The 15549-nt window shown below is 47.3% G+C and overlaps 1 annotated feature.

Moving 5' to 3' along the window:
- Positions 12295–12589: a silencer, noted in NCBI's record as "tiled region #12974; K562 Repressive DNase matched - State 8:EnhW". NCBI's record gives its function as "represses a minimal TATA promoter and a strong SV40 promoter by Sharpr-MPRA in K562 cells {active_cell/tissue: K562}" and the evidence as "EXISTENCE:reporter gene assay evidence [ECO:0000049][PMID:27701403]".

The following is a 15549-nucleotide window of genomic DNA, read 5'->3' on the forward strand; positions in this document are numbered from 1 at the left end:
GTCTAGTCTGTTTTGTTTACCTGGTTCTATGTCCTCTCTCCCAGTATGCAGATTTCTCAAAAGCAATGCCTGTGTCTGCTTCCTCTCTTTCCCAGAGCAAAGCATACCATTGCAGTGTAGGGGAGTGGAGGGCAGGGAAGGTGAGCTGTGGGGAAGAGGCTGTAGGGGCTGTGAGGATAGAGGGTGGATGCAGTCAGGGCAGACTGCAGTTTCTTCCCAGCACTAGCTGCCCTCCCTCCATTCTGGGTTGCCAGTGCCCCATGGGGCAAGCAAGAAGGTGTGTATTTGTCAGTTTATGTTTGGGAGGGGAAGGGAAAGAAAGTTGATTTGTTCTCATTTAACCCTTCAAATCCTTTCTACATTTAAAGGAGGATTTGTCATTTTGTTTTGAAGACAGTAACAATTGAGGATGATAGTGGGTTAGATCCCTGGATTAGGGAGGTGTGGGGAGGTCCTTTCAAGGACATGCTTCTTCCAGCTGTACCTGGTCACCTTTCTGTATTATATAATGATGGTCAAGGTCAACCCACACACTAGTTATTGCAGTAGGGGATAGGAGGCAATTCTAAATTTTACTGGGAGCGATGGGAATTCGTTTAGAGGGTTTTTAGAAGAGTGACATGATCTGATTTCTATTATTCTGGCTGCTTTGAGAGAATAGATTTTAGAGGATCAAAGGTGGCAGCAGGGAGCCCATTTGGGAGGCTGGTGCAATGATCCAGGCAAGAGAGAATGGTGGTGGCAACCAGGTGGGAGCACAGAAGATAGTGAGAAGCGTCATGATGGATATATTTGAAGGCAGAGCTAAGAGGATTCTTTAACTGTTGGATGTAGGATGTGACAGAAAGAGGAGCTAAGAGGATTCTTGAACTATTTGGATATAGGATGTAAGAAAAAGAGCAGTCAGGGTTACCTTCATGATTTTTCTCCTGGACAACTAACTGCTCATGAATTTTTGATCATTTTACAGCAGAAAATGATGGGGTAGTAGAAGGTTTTACTGTGCTATAATAGTTACAATGAATGAATGAGAGGTATAAGTATCAACTTGGATGCACCGAAACAAGGAAGGAAAAAAGCTTCAGAATGTACATTCAGTAGGATACAGTTTACATAAATGTGTAAGGCTTGCAAACAGTATTGTGTAAGCTCCATATATAGATGGTAAAAGTGTAAAGACAAATACAGAATAATTACAGTCAGGGTTGAGCCCCATCTGCGAGCCTCACACTAAACAAAACAAAACGAAAAGAAAAAACATGCCATTGCTCAGTCCAGATCCTAGTCCAGTTAAACCAGAATCTCTGGGGCTGGATCGATCCAGGCATCAGTATGTTTTAGAGCTCCCTAGGGGATTCTAGTATGTAGGCAAGGTGGAAGACCACTGCCTTACCTTGACAAACAATTGTGAAATCTTTTAAGAAGCAGAGGAATTTTCCCCTTTCGTGCCAAGTAGTCGTCCATGTCTGTTCTGAAGTTAGTTAAGAGACACCCATGCCCTAATTTCCATGGTGTTCAGCCAGGAAACATGAATAAAGTCTCTCAAGAGACAGCTGAGCCCAGAACATGGTCTTCCAATATCAGTTTCTGCTAAAGGGAACTCCTTGGGGAAATGGCTGATTGCAGGGTTGGGGCAGAAAATGTACAAGATGAGCCTGTAACATCTTGTTGTACCAGATACCAAGCAAGCTCTCAATCACCACTAAGGGCTTGTATAAAGGACAGACTCAGGAGACAACTCTCACTTGCCAAAGATGGGACTCTTTGAGCATCAATAAGAATAATGGCAATGAATTAAAACACATCAGATGTTCAAATCAATGAGTTCATAATGATCCTTTAAAAAAAGAAAATCTCTGGATGATGCTAAGAAAGCAACTCATTTGAAACCTGGTAAAGAAAGACAAGCATTTATCCTGCCTTTGTTACTTGAAAGTTACCGAAGACTTGATGATGGAAGTTTCTCATTGCAGAAGCACTCGTTAAGGCCCAGGTCCAGCCATAATTAGAGTGAGAGTTGCCAAGGGGTGGCCAGTGGGAGATACCTGAGTCCCCGAAAATGCCTCTCTCAGTCTGTCCACAGGGCAGCTCCTTGCAGAGCTTTGTTCCAGCAGAAGATGCCTCTAATTGCACTCTTCATCCAACAAGATGTGCTGGTCCCACTTGCTACACTAAATGCTCTCCCAGCACAGTCTGAGTCAGTCAAAATTCTTGATCTTGGGGCCGGGCACGGTGGCTCATGCCTGTAATCCCATCACTTTGGGAGGCTGAGGCAGGTGGATCACTTGAGGCCAAGAGTCTGAGACCAGCCTGGCCAACATGATGAAACCTTGTCTCTACTAAAAATACAAAAATTAGCCGGGCATGGTGGTGCGCACCTGTAGTCCCAGCTACTCAGGAGGCTGAGGTAGGAGAATCGCTTGAATCCAGGAGGTGGAGGTTGCAGTGAGCCGAGATCATGCTACTGCACTCCAGCCTGGCCAACAGAGCGAGACTCTGTCTCACAACAAAAACAAACACACAAAAGAAACAAACGTTGGAAAGGATGTGGAGAAAAGGGAACCCTTACACACTGTTGGCAGGAATGTAAATTAGTACAGCCATTATGGAAGACAGTATAGAGTTCCTTAATATAGAGTTCTTATATGATCCAGCAATCCCACTACTGGGTATTTACCCAAAGGAAATGAAACCAGTATGTTGAAGAGATACCTGCATGCTCACGTTCTTTGCAGCACATTATTCACAATAGCCAAGATAAGTATACATCAATGGATGAATGGATAAAGAAAATGTGGCATATGTACACAAAGGAGTACTTTTCAGCTTTTAAAAAGAAGGAAATCTAACACTGGGTGTGTTAGTGCACATGTAGTTCCAGCTACCCAGGAGGCTGAGATGGGAGGATTGCTGGAGCCCAAGAGTTTGAGACCAGCTTGGGCAACATAGCCACACCCCATCTTTAAAAAATAATAAAATAAGGAAATTCTGTCATTTGTGACAACATGGGTGAACCTGGAGGCCATACGTTAAGTGAGATCATGCAGTATCTGTCTTTCTGTGCCTGGCTTCACTTATTTGTGGAATTTTTTTTTTTTTTTTTTCAAAAATTGAACCCATAGGCCAGGCGCGGTGGCCCATGCCTGTAATCCCAGCACTTTGGGAGGCTGAGGCGGGTGGATCACCTGAGGTCAAGAGTTCGAGACCAGCCTGGCCAACATGGTGAAACCCATCTCTTTTGTATTTTTGTACTAAAAATAGAAAAATTAGCCAGGCTTGGTGGCGGGCACCTGTAATCCCAGCTGCTTGGGAGGCTGAGGTGGGAGAATTGCTTGAACCTGGGAGGTGGAAGTTGCAGTGAGCCAAGACCACACCATTACACTCCAGCCTGGGCGACAGAGTGAGGCTCCATCTCAAAAAAAAAAAAAAAAAAAAAAAAAGGAACCCATAAAAGCAGAGAGTAGAATGCTAGTGGATGGTGAAATTCTGCACATTAGATGGGCTGGGGGTGCCATTGGATATCACCCCTGGAAATGAGATGCACCACTGGGCTAGCAGCCTAAAGCTATACACCAGGCTGACTAGGGAGCCTGCCAGGAGGTGTAACTGACTCTGGGTTCATGTTCTTTATGAGCTCTTTGGTACCTACCTAGGAGTCAGTGCTCATAAAAGAATGATAAGAAATCTGTCCCTGACCATGGCAGATGTTGCCTCCTTCACAGCCACTGTTTTGGCAGCCCTGCAGACATCCTTCATTTCTCTTGGGAAGATTGTTTTACATACCAATATTGCTCTAGACTTTCTTTTAGCCCAAGTGGGAGGAGTGTGTGCAATTGTTAACACCTCCTGCTGTACCTGGATAAGCACATCAGATTTCATAGAAACACAAGTAGGCTGGGCGCGGTGGCTCACACCTGTAATCCTAGCACTTTGGGAGGCCAAGGTGGACGGATCACCTTTGGTCAGGAGTTAGAGACCAACCTGGCCAACATGGTGAAACCCCATCTCTACTAAAAATACAAAAATTAGCCAGGCATGGTGGTAGGTGCCTGTAATCCCAGTTACTCAGGAGGCTGAGGTGGGAGAATTGCTTGAACCGCGGGCGGTGGAGGTTGCAGTGAGCAGTGAGCCAAGATTGTGCCATTGCACTCCAGCCTGGGCGACAAGAGCAAAACTCCATCTCAAAAACAAAAAAAAAAAAAAAGGAAAGAAAAGACACACAAGTAGAAGAAATTCAGGAGCAGACCCTCACAAGCAGAAAAAATTCAGGAGCAGGCCCACTGGCTGCAGACAGTGGGGCCACCTGAAGGATCCTTCTTAGACTTCCATAGCGACTTCTTAACTGGATCGCTGTGTCCAAGGCTAGGTCATGCTCCAGGCAGCCCTGGTTATTCTGCAGTTGTAGGGGTCCTCCTGGGCCTCGTGAAATGGATTCTGGCTATGGCTTAATGATGTCTCACTGGGATTGTGTCAGTTAAAGTGTTCTCGAACTAATGAGACAGACCAAACCCCTGCCTCCAAATCCAGGGAGGTTGGTGGGATATGAAATTGACCAGCTTCGCTAAGGGGGATATCTGGGTTTCGGATGGACTACAGAGCAGTTCTCCAGATGGCCTTGGACTGACCCAGTTCTCCCAGCTTTCTCACTGTAGTTCTCAAGAATAACTGTAGAATGTGCTGGGAATGCAATAGCCTGAGGTCAGGAGGAACTGGCCAGAACAGCCTGGGCTTGTTCCTGTCCCTGCTATGAAAGAATGCCCTTCAGGCCCGGAGAGGCGGCTCACGCCTATAATCCCAGCACTTTGGGAGGCCAAGGGGCAGATCACCCGAGGTCAAGAGTTCAAGACCAGTTGGCCAACATGGTGAAACCCTATCTCTACTAAAAATACAAAAATTAGCCAAGCGTGGTGGCGCACACCTGTAATCCCAGCTACTTGGGAGGCTGAGGCAGGAGAATCACTTTAACCCGGGAGGCGGAGGCTGCAGTGAACTAAGATTGTGCCACTGTGCTCCAGCCTGGGTGACAGAGCAAGACTCCTCAAAAAACAAAAGAAAACAAAACAAAAGATGATGACGAAGAAGAAAGAATGGATTTGGGGAAAAAAACAAAAACCAGCAGTGTCTGCCATAATATATTTATGAGAAAATACATGAAAACTTGTAACAGTATTTGCTCTAGGAACAGGATACTGGTGATTGGGGACATAAAGGAGAATGTCCCTTTTAATACCCTTTTGAACTTTTATAATCTGTTCCATATGAGTATATTAACTAATCACACACTTTTAACAGAGTAATAAAAATGCACCATACTGCGTGCTTGGTAAACCTCTCTAGCTAGTTCACTGACAAGAAGTTTTGTGCCCTCACCCTTAGCCCCTCAGAGAGGGCTATTTGTGTTGTGAAACTCAGGCCACATAGAACTGTAAGAAATCCATTTGATTCAAGGAGCATAGGAAATCTCATGGGCCTGTATGGGCAGGAGCCTGGAAAGGGACACAAATCCAGCTAAGTGTCCTGGGGGGTGCCAATCTTCCTGAGCCAGTGGACCCAGCTGTTATTGGCCCTCCCTTGTGCCCTTCATGACTGTGCTAGGCTTCCTCAGGGGGAGAGAAGGCCAGTTCTGCTGCTAAGCTCTCACCCCAGCACTGCTTATACACAGAGGCAGGAGGAGGCCAGATGCCTCTGGCCAGGAGGGGCTAGGGTGTGGAGCCTGGGGGCCAAAGCACAGCCAGCTCCTGGGAAAGCGGGTGCTGCTTGAAGCAGGAAGTCTTTAAAGTCTCTGCCATGCAGAGCTCTGGGCTGCCCTTATCGGACTCTCATCTTTCCCCAGCCTTCATGACTCAAGAGAGCCAAATTTATGAACCTCGTCATTCTTCAGTTGATGATAATTTTTAGAAAGTAGATTTTCCTTGAGCATTTAAACATTAAATGTAATCAGTTACACTCTTCCCAACTGTAATGACTCAGTCTCATAAATGTTTAAAACGCCTTTAAAAATTGACAAATAATAATATAATCATTACAAAACTGGATCTGTATATGCATACTAAAACCAGTTACAAATGCTAATATGTGGTTCTAAATTTGCTTCTTTATTATTTGCAGTTAGCAGCCTTAGCAGCAGGTGGCAAGACATTATGTGCCCAGATGTTGCTGTCCCATCCTGGGGACCTCAGAGTTGGCCATGCCACACCTTCCATTGGAGGCACCCAGACTCTCCACGGTCTGCACCACAAACCCCGGTCCTGGGCACATCGACTGGACCGGGGTGGACCCTGGACCCTAACTCAGGCCTCTGTGAACTAGCCAGGGACCTGTAAAACCTGTACAAAGTTTTTCCCCAGAAGGGGCGCAGATGGTGACAGCTGACCGGCAGAAGGCAGGGAGGAGCCCTGAGGGGAAGCTGGCCAGAAGTTGCTGGCACTGTGGAGATAAATGAGATACCAATGTCTCAGTGAGAATAGAGAGTGGGTGACGTGGAGGCAGTACTAGATCCTGACCTCTGCTGGCCAGTTCTCCTAAGGGCCTGGCTGCAAGGTTGTGCTGGGTGGCTTTCTACTTCCTGTGCTCAGACAGGCAAAGGAAAATAACTCAAAAGCTGTTCTAAGCCAAAGTGATGGCATGTGCCAAGTGCACAGGAAATAGAAGCTGGTCCAGAAATGTGTATGCAAGAAGTGAGGGGAGCAGGACTGAGTGGAGGGCGACATGGAGCTGTGAGGCCTCAACTGATCCCACAGGAGCTCTGAGTTGAGATCACCCAGCAGATGCCCCGAAATGAGACAAGGGGCTTTGTAACTCCCACCCATCACTCGTTTAGTGGACATAGGCTGCACCCTGCACCAGGGATGGGGGTGGGGCAGAGCCCTGGTGGGGGGCAGCTTCCTTCTGCCAGGGGCAATTCCAAGTGAGTGATCTAATCTAACACAGTGGGTCCTGAAGTGTGGTCTAGGTGGTCACAAACCAGAGGTGACAGGCTAGGTCACTGTGTGTGAGGCAGGCCTGTGGTCAGAATATGGTTGGAGCAGCCCACTCAGAGGCCAGGCCTGGTTAATCCCTGTAGAACAATGGAAGGAGCTGTGTTCATGAAATGAACCTCTAAGGGTTTGCAGGAGGAGGACTGATGGGATCAGATTTTCTTTCTAGTGTGAGGGAGGGGGAACCGGAGCTCAGGAGAGGGATCTGGCCACAAAGATGGGTGGGGGCGGTGCACAGAGGATTCTAAAGACACAGAGTGGCACAGAGGGCAGAGAGCCTGTGGAGATGAGAGGGGGAAGAAAATGGTGTTAGATGTTCCCAGCATCTGGGAAAAGTAGCATTTGTAGGAAATGGGGAGCAGGATCTGCAAAGAGACTGAGGAGGAGCTGCGTGCAGGACACGTGGTCCCGAGTGGGTAGAGGAAGAGAGCCAAGGGCTCCAGGAAAGAGAGAATCAGCAGTGCCAGACAAGGACTGAAAAGCCCTCCCTTCCTCCCCCAACACACAGAAAGACAGACTGACACACACGCACACACACACACACACCCGTGGTTTAATAAACTTGGAGTTTCCTCAGACTGCCTCTAGGTGGCAGTGTATGCACGCGGCATCAACTGCTGCGCAGCTCTCCCCGGGGACTACCAGATTCTCCATGGAACCAACTAAAACTCCCCAAAGCTGTGTGACAGGGACAGGGAGAGGTACCTGTGATGTTTGCAACATCCATCTGTTTTCTGCTCTGTCTCAGATGAGTCTAGGTGTGCCTCTCTCCCCTACTTTGTAGTGGTAGGGGGAACTTTCAGTGGCTCTCCTAGCAGTGTCTGCGCCTAGAGGTCCCAGGGCCTTAGCCGACCCTCAAATCTCTAGGTGTGAGATTGAGACAGACTGGGGACTCAGGTGTGGTCATAAAGCTGACAGTCCTGCTTCTACCACTTATCAGCTAGGTGATTCCCTCTGAGCCCCCTTTCCACATTTATGTTACTAAGTCAGAGCTTTGTGAAGGTCAGTTTGCATGACATTATTCCAGAAGTAACACTCTGTGCTGTCAAGTGGCTTTGACATCTGCACAGATCCCATAGTTCCCTGGGTAGACATGAGCAGCTCTCCGGCCTGAGTGGACCTAGCTTTCAGGGGCAGAGTTGGGACTTAGCCCGTGCAGTCCGATTCCTGGTATTATACTTGCTCTTAACATCTAGGATCTGCTCCCTCCCTTGATGTCTTATTTGGCCACATCTGGGGTTTTCTTCTTTGGCAAAACTTTCTTCTCCCATGTGGAGTCATTACAGTGTGGTTGATGCACAGGGCTGAAAGGGCCGTGGGATGTCACCTGTTGAACAACCTTTCTTTCTCTGCCACCTTCAGTTTATGAAATGGAACAACTGAGGGCAGAGAGATGACAGGACTCCTTGTCACCACCATCTGCTTAGACAGTCTCAGATGCTATAATTAAAGGGTGTTCCACTGTGTCTTATCCTCACACATGGGCTCCTATCACAAATCTTAGTCCTAATTCTTTGCAGGGGACGCCACTGGCAGGCAGAGGTCCCATGGCTGAGGCTGTAGATGCAAATAAGAGTAGAAACCTCCTAGAAGTTTGCAGATTCCTTAAAATAGATTGTTCTGGAACAAATAGGCCAAGTATAGAATGACAGGCCAAGAAATAAATTTCCTTTCTGTTCTCTTTTCCCCAAGGCTCCCTAACCTCTTTCTTCAAGAAAGGCAACACCAGTGCAAAACTGACCTTGAAGTAAAAGTTCTACCAAAGATGTTGGCGCCTAACCCATTGCCATTGCCTGCACTCCAAGTCCTGCCATATACTGATGGAGTGACCCATCTTCCCACTAGCCTCTTGGTCCTGACCTCCTCACCCTCAGGGCCATTTGTTTCTCCGTTTCTTCCATCTCAATCACCTGGTCCCATGGATACACACCTCTGTCTGACCACAGCCTTGTGTCACCGTATCTCCCTTCTTCACATGCTGAGGGCCCTCCAGCCGCAGCCTCATCTTCTTTCCCCCTATCTACTAGCCCCTCCAGCTGTCACTTCTCTCCCCTAGTAGCCAAGCCTCAGGATACAACACCTCAACTGCTTTATTTCCAACCTTCTGGAATCCTTTGCACCATTGTTTTTCTATCATGCTCTCCCGGCAAACCCCAGATTTTGATCAATCCTGCTGTCTGTGCTCTCTGCACTTGCACATACTCCAGCTGCTGAGTACTGATGAAAAAGGTCATGTAATCTGAGATGTGTGTCACTCTCACTCTGGGTCTCCATTTGCAGCTGGGCTTGCAACCCTTCCCCAAACATTCCTGCTTGCCCCTGCTCAGAGGTGTCTCTCGTTCTCTCCTAGGTTTCTCTGAAATCCTTGGATCCCACCCAACACCCACTTAACCTTCAGCAGGTGCCCATTCTACTTCCAGAGAAAGTGGACCCCTTCCCTTAGGAAGCCCCACCGAACCCACAAACATCTGCATCCTCACCCAGCTTGTCTTCCTGCCTCCTGTCTCTATGAAGGTCCTGCTGTCCTCCAGTTTGGGGCTCTCCTCTTGTTCTGAACACCAATCCTTCCCACCTTCTCCAGCAAGCGTTTTCTCTCTTCCTTCAGACTCTCTTATCTCCCCTCTTCTCTTGCCTTCTCCCTTCATCATTTAAACATATTTGAGTCTCTCCTTTGTTTTTCTTGTTATTTTCTTTTAATAGAAACAGGGTTTCACTATGTTGCCCAGGCTCACCTGGAACTCCTGGGCTGAAGCGATTCTCCCACCTGGGCCTCCCAAAGTGCTGGTATTACAAGCATGAGCCATCGTGCCTGGCCCAAGTCTCTCCTTTCTTAAACAAACACCCTCCTGCAACTGCTTATCCTCATCATCTTCCAGTTAACAACCTCTCTCTCATTTTCCAATTGCTGTTCAGCCCACTGTTAACTGTCTTTGACCCAATTCTCCACTGAAACAGTTCTCTGAAGCTATTAACCCCATGGTTGCTCTTCAGCCTTGTTTCACTGGCCCTCTGCAGCCCTGGAAACTGGACCACTCCCCTCTTCTTGAAACACTTGTTGCCCCTGGACTTCCATCCATTCCACCCTCTTGGCTTTTCTCCTACCTCACTGGACAGTCTTCCTCAGTCTCTTTGGTCCCTCTGCTCTCTCGTTTTCCAAAGATTCTGTCCTTGGTCCTTTTCTCATCTCCCAGTCCCAAAATAATCTCCTCTACTCTGATGATTTCAATTATCACACACTGCTTCCTCAATATCGATTCTCCCTTCTTTCTTTAAAACAGGAGTTAATTTTTTAAACATTTCCCAACCTCCTTTGGAGTTAGGGTTTGTCATGTGACTGCACTCGGCGAGTGAGGCATAAGCAGTAGTCTGGGGATTTCTGGGTAAGTTTTAGGTGTTGCCCCTTCATTCTTTTTGCTCTTTCTTCTGTCTGGAATGTGGGTGGGAAGCTGGAGCTGGGGCAGCCATTGTATGACCACAAGCCAACTCTGTCCCCTAAGGAGAGCCAGACACACCAACAGAGAGGAGCTGGGACCTGATGACGTTGTGGGGCTGCTGATCAGCCTTGCTCTGCTTACCTTTAGACTTCTTGTTGTGTCAGAATTTTTTCCTACAACTACAGCGAGAAAGCTGAATGTAGTTAAGGCAATGTAGTTGTGTTGCTATTTTCTCTCCCCTCCCTCCCTCCATCCTTTCCTTCCTTCCCTCCTCCCTCCCTCTTTTCCCTCCTTTCCCTCTTTCTCTTTCTCCTCTCTCTCTGTTTTCTTTTTTTTTTTTTTTTCCTAAAGAGATGGGGTCTTACTATGTTGCACAGATTAGTCTCAAACTCCTGGGCTCGAGTGATCCTCCTGCCTCAGCCTTTCAAAGTGTTGGGATTACAGATGTGAGCCACCGCACCTGGCCTTGGGTTATTGTTAGAAAAGCTAAACACAATTTCAAATGGATACAACTTCCAAACTGATAACTTCTGTTTAGCTGTCTCTCTTAACTCCATACAGCAAATTGCACCTCTCCACCCTACCCAGGAACACTTCAAATGGAAGAGGTCTAAGGCATCACCTCTCACCAAACATATTATACATCCACACAGGGTCTCTTGTGTTCCTTCTCAGTGAATAGCGCCACTGCCCACGCAGCCAGAATATGATGTCTCTTTATTCCTCATTCTCCCATGCAATTAGTCACTTGTCAGTTCCAGCTCCTAAATATATCTTGATTCTGTCCACCTCTTTCTATTTCCTCATCATTTCTTTTCTAACCATTTTTTATTCCAATCTTGCTCCCTCCCACCTTCCCTTCCCACTCCAGCCTTAGGGATCTTTCTAAAGTACAGATATAACAATGTCACCATTCTGCCTAAAACCTGCCCAGGGCCTAAAGAATACTTGGTATAGAAGACTGCTAAAAATGATGATGTTGGCCCTGCACACACCACTACCCCTTCTTCTGCATAGGCCTTGCCCTACTGATCATAGGCATGGGCATGTGACCCAGACCTAGTCCAATTACGATATCTCATCTCCCTCATCACGCTGGTTGTGTCAGAGTTTGTTTGGCTCTCTCAAGCCACTCCATGTTGCTGTAAGAATGGGTCCAGGAGTGAATATGTGACCAGAGCTGACCCAATTAGGATCCTTTTCTTTTCTTTTTTCTTTTTTTTTTTGAGATGGAGTCTTCCTCTGTCGCCCAGGCTGGAGTGCAATGGCACAATCTCAGCTCACTGCAACCTCCATCTCCCCTGTTCAAGCACGATTCTCTCACCTCTGCCTCCTGAGTAGCTGGAACTACAGGCATGCGCCACCACACCCAGCTAATTTTCCTACTTTTAGTACAGACGAGGTTTCACCACGTTGGCCAGGCTGGTCCGAAACTCCTGACCTCAAGTGATCCGCCCGCCTTGGCCTCCCAAAGTGCTGGGATTACAGGCATGAGCCACTATGCCCGGTCGATCCTTTCTTGAGATTTGTTCATACCGACTTAAGAGTGTAGACTTACTCAGTCACATACCTGACATGGCAAACTCTGAGAACTAGGAGAAACAGAGGGTAGGGCCCCCGTTCTGGGACGTTGTCAGGATCAGCCCCGTTTTGTGTCACTCTGGTTTCAAGTTCTTCTTTCAATTCTGTGAGCAATCTGAGGCTCCTTCCAGTATCTCCCCTTTGATGACCTAAGCTAGTCTGAGTGGGGTTCTCATTTCCAGCCAAAATGTCCCGACTAATCCTTGGTAGTCTGGTCCTAATAAGACATCTTTCCTGGGTAACAGAGTTCTTTACAGCTTACCCAGTATTTTTCGAAGTTTTACAAACTTTATCTCTTTGGATTTTTATTACAAGCTTGTGAGGTGGGTTTTAGTATTACCTTGACTTTACAGATAAGAACAGCAGGGCTCAGGAATGTAAAGTGGTTTGCTCAAGATCATGTTGAGAACTAGGAGAGCTTGGACACCAACTCCCTCTTCTGTTCAATCTCACCCTGACCTGCCCATTGCCCTGTAAACACACACAGAGGCTGCAGAGTGGAGCCCAGGGTGGGAGTGCAGCACTGGGGACCGACACAGAGGGCTATAGAAGTCAGGGGAAGACAAAGGGCAAGCTCTTCCACTTACAATTTTATCTGTGGCAGCTTCAGGTCCAGGAAAAAGATAAGAAACTCTCAGCTTTTTTCTTTTCCTCCTTCCTATACTGTTTTTTGTTCCCACAGTCCATACATTAGGCTTGCAGTCTGCACTACAATTCAGTTATATGCTTGGCAATTATGGTTCTAGGTGCTAGCCAGGAAGGTAAACCACTGGTTACAATACAACCCTTTTATGAGTTGGGGCTGTCTATATTGAATTTTTTATTTTTTAATAAAGGAGAATAAAATAGACCTGTTTTGCATTTCGTGTCTCTGAGGCTCTCTCAAGCCACTCCATGTTGCTGTAAGAATGGATCAGATAGGCCAGGCACAGTGGCTCACGCCTGTAATCCCAGCACTTTGGGAAGCCAAGGTGGGCAGGTCATGAGGTCAGGAGTTCAAGACCAGCCTGGCCAACATAGCGAAACCCCACCTCTAATAAAAATACAAAAAATTAGCTGGGTGTGGTGGCACGTGCCTATAGTCCCATGAATCCAGGAGGCAGAGGTTGCAGTGAGCCCACGCCATTGTACTCCAGCCTGGGTGACACAGTGAGACTCCGTCTCAAAGGAAAAAAAAAAGAATGGGTCAGATAAAGCTCTGTGGGTCTCTGCTACAGCTGGGAATGGCAGGTGAGTGTCAGATGTGACTGTCTGGGGCATGGCAGGGAAGGCCATGCTGGCTTTGTGGGTATTCCCACCACACTTTTCATAGCAGCAGTGTGGCCAACTATTCCAGAAAGGACACATCTCCCAGACGCTGCTCAGGCCAGCAAGATCTCCAAAACCGCTCAGTCCATGGTTTGCAAAACTGGCTTCCCCATCTCCTTCCTCCTTGTTCTAGCTCATGACCTCCTGCACATGCAGGATTGAGCAGAAATCACCAGGTGTGAGTAATCATCTTCCCAATCCCAGCCTTTACCGGAAACCTCTCCTCGGCCTCCACACTCCTCTCCTTAATGATGGTGGAGGCGTCCCTTTGTAGGAGGTGACCCTCGTTAGTGCCTATACCCTATCTCCTTTCACCTGCTCTTCCTATCATGGCCCCTGCCTTCTTCTTAGATCATTCCTATCAGTGTGCAAGCCTGCTTCAGTGACTCCCATATTTTAACAAACCCCTCTTTATTCCAACAAATGTTAGAATTAGATGTGGCTACATGTGCCATAAAACAGAGGATTAAACAAGACAGAAATGTCCTTCTCCCATAAAGAAAGTCAAGAGGTAGTAGTCCAAATGTGTGGTGGCTCCCTACACATTAGCATCCACATTTATTCTCACTTCCACTAACATCCTCAACACTTTGGCTTCCACTTAAGATCCAATATGGATGCTTGAGCTCCAGCTATCTATTAATATATCCTAGTGGGCAGGAAAGAGTAAAGCACATGACTTCCCTTTAAAGCCAGTTTTGAATTTGCACATGGACTCCTACACTTACTTCCTATTGGGAGGAATGAAGTGTAGCTGCAAGAGAGGCTGAGAAACTTGCCTTTATTCTGGGAAGCCATGTGGCCAGACAGAATTAGAAATTCTATGAAGGGAAGAGAGAATTACTACTAGGGGCATCTAGCAATCTCTACCAAAGCATCCTATGCTTCCGTATCCTTTCTAGATCCCTCCCAGTTCTCCATTCCCTGTTAGACAAGTTGTGCAAATATGGTAGCTCTACCACAGCATGGCTTCCACCACTACTCCAGGAACACTGCCCTCATCATGTTCACCAATTGCCTTCATGTTGCCAGAGCCAACAGGTCCCAGTCCTCATCTTACCTGATCTCTAAGCAGTGTCTAACACAGCTGACAACTGCTTTCTGGAAACATTTTCTCAGTCTCTGGGATACTCCTGATTCTCCTTCTGCCTCCCCAGTCTCTTTTTCAGTCTTCTTGCCTGCTTTGGTTCCCCTGGGTCCCTCCTGAACTCTCTCCTCTTCTGCATCTACTCCCTCACCCTGTGTGTCCTTCTCAGATCCCGTGGCCTTGAGCATCTTTATGCTGATGTATCCCAAAGCCCCTCTCCCGCCCTGGCCTCTCTTCTGAGTTCCTAGTGATGAGATAACCCCGCTGGTTCTCTAACAGGCATCTGAAGCTCCATGTGGCTTGAACAGAATTCCTGATGTAACTCCCTGAGATGTGGTTCATGCTTTTTGATCCAATAAATGAAGCACTATCCACCCACTTACCCCAGCCAGAAACTTGAGTTATCTTTGGTTTCTCCATTTCCTGCCCCCATGTCCTTCCTATCAATGTGTCCTCTTAAGTCCAAAATAGCATCTCTCAACTACTCATCTTAGCATGACCACCACTTTGGTTCAAACCACCATCATCTTTGGCCTGGATTGTGGCAAGCCTAATTGGCTCCCTGCTTTTATTTTTGCCTGACACCCACACACAGCCTTAAATCAGAACATGTTAGTCTTCTGCATAAAACCCTTCCAAGGCTCAACAAAGTCTCCATTCTTTGACACAGCCCACAGGCCCTGCATGCTTTGGCCCCCACCCACCTTCTCACTCCATCCTGGGCCTCTTCCCCTAGGCTTAAAACTTCAGCCACACTGATTTTCTTTCAGTTCCCTGACCCATCCAGAACTTACCCTGAAAAGGCACCTACTGCTCTCAGCGAGGAATGTCTCTGCCCAACTTTTCCCAAGGCTAACTCCTTACTCTTTTGACTTCAATTTCAGCATCGCCTCCTCACTTTCCCTGACTGCTTCATCTAAGGTAGCTTTTATTCTCTATTCTAGCCCCTTGTTTTTGTCCCAGCCTTTACTTCAACTTGTGATTATGTATTTGTCTTCTCCACTAAAAATTAACTTTATTGGGCAAAAGGCCTCAGCTGTCTTGTTCACTGAAGTATCCCACCATGCACACAGGGCCTGGCATATTATCAGGCACTCAGACAAACACTCACTATCTGCTGAATGAATGGACAGGTTCCCAGGGAGTTTCCAGAGCTGCCTGG

This window comes from Homo sapiens, chromosome 10 (genome assembly GCF_000001405.40).
Source record: "Homo sapiens chromosome 10, GRCh38.p14 Primary Assembly".
Taxonomy (NCBI): Eukaryota; Metazoa; Chordata; class Mammalia; order Primates; family Hominidae; genus Homo; species Homo sapiens.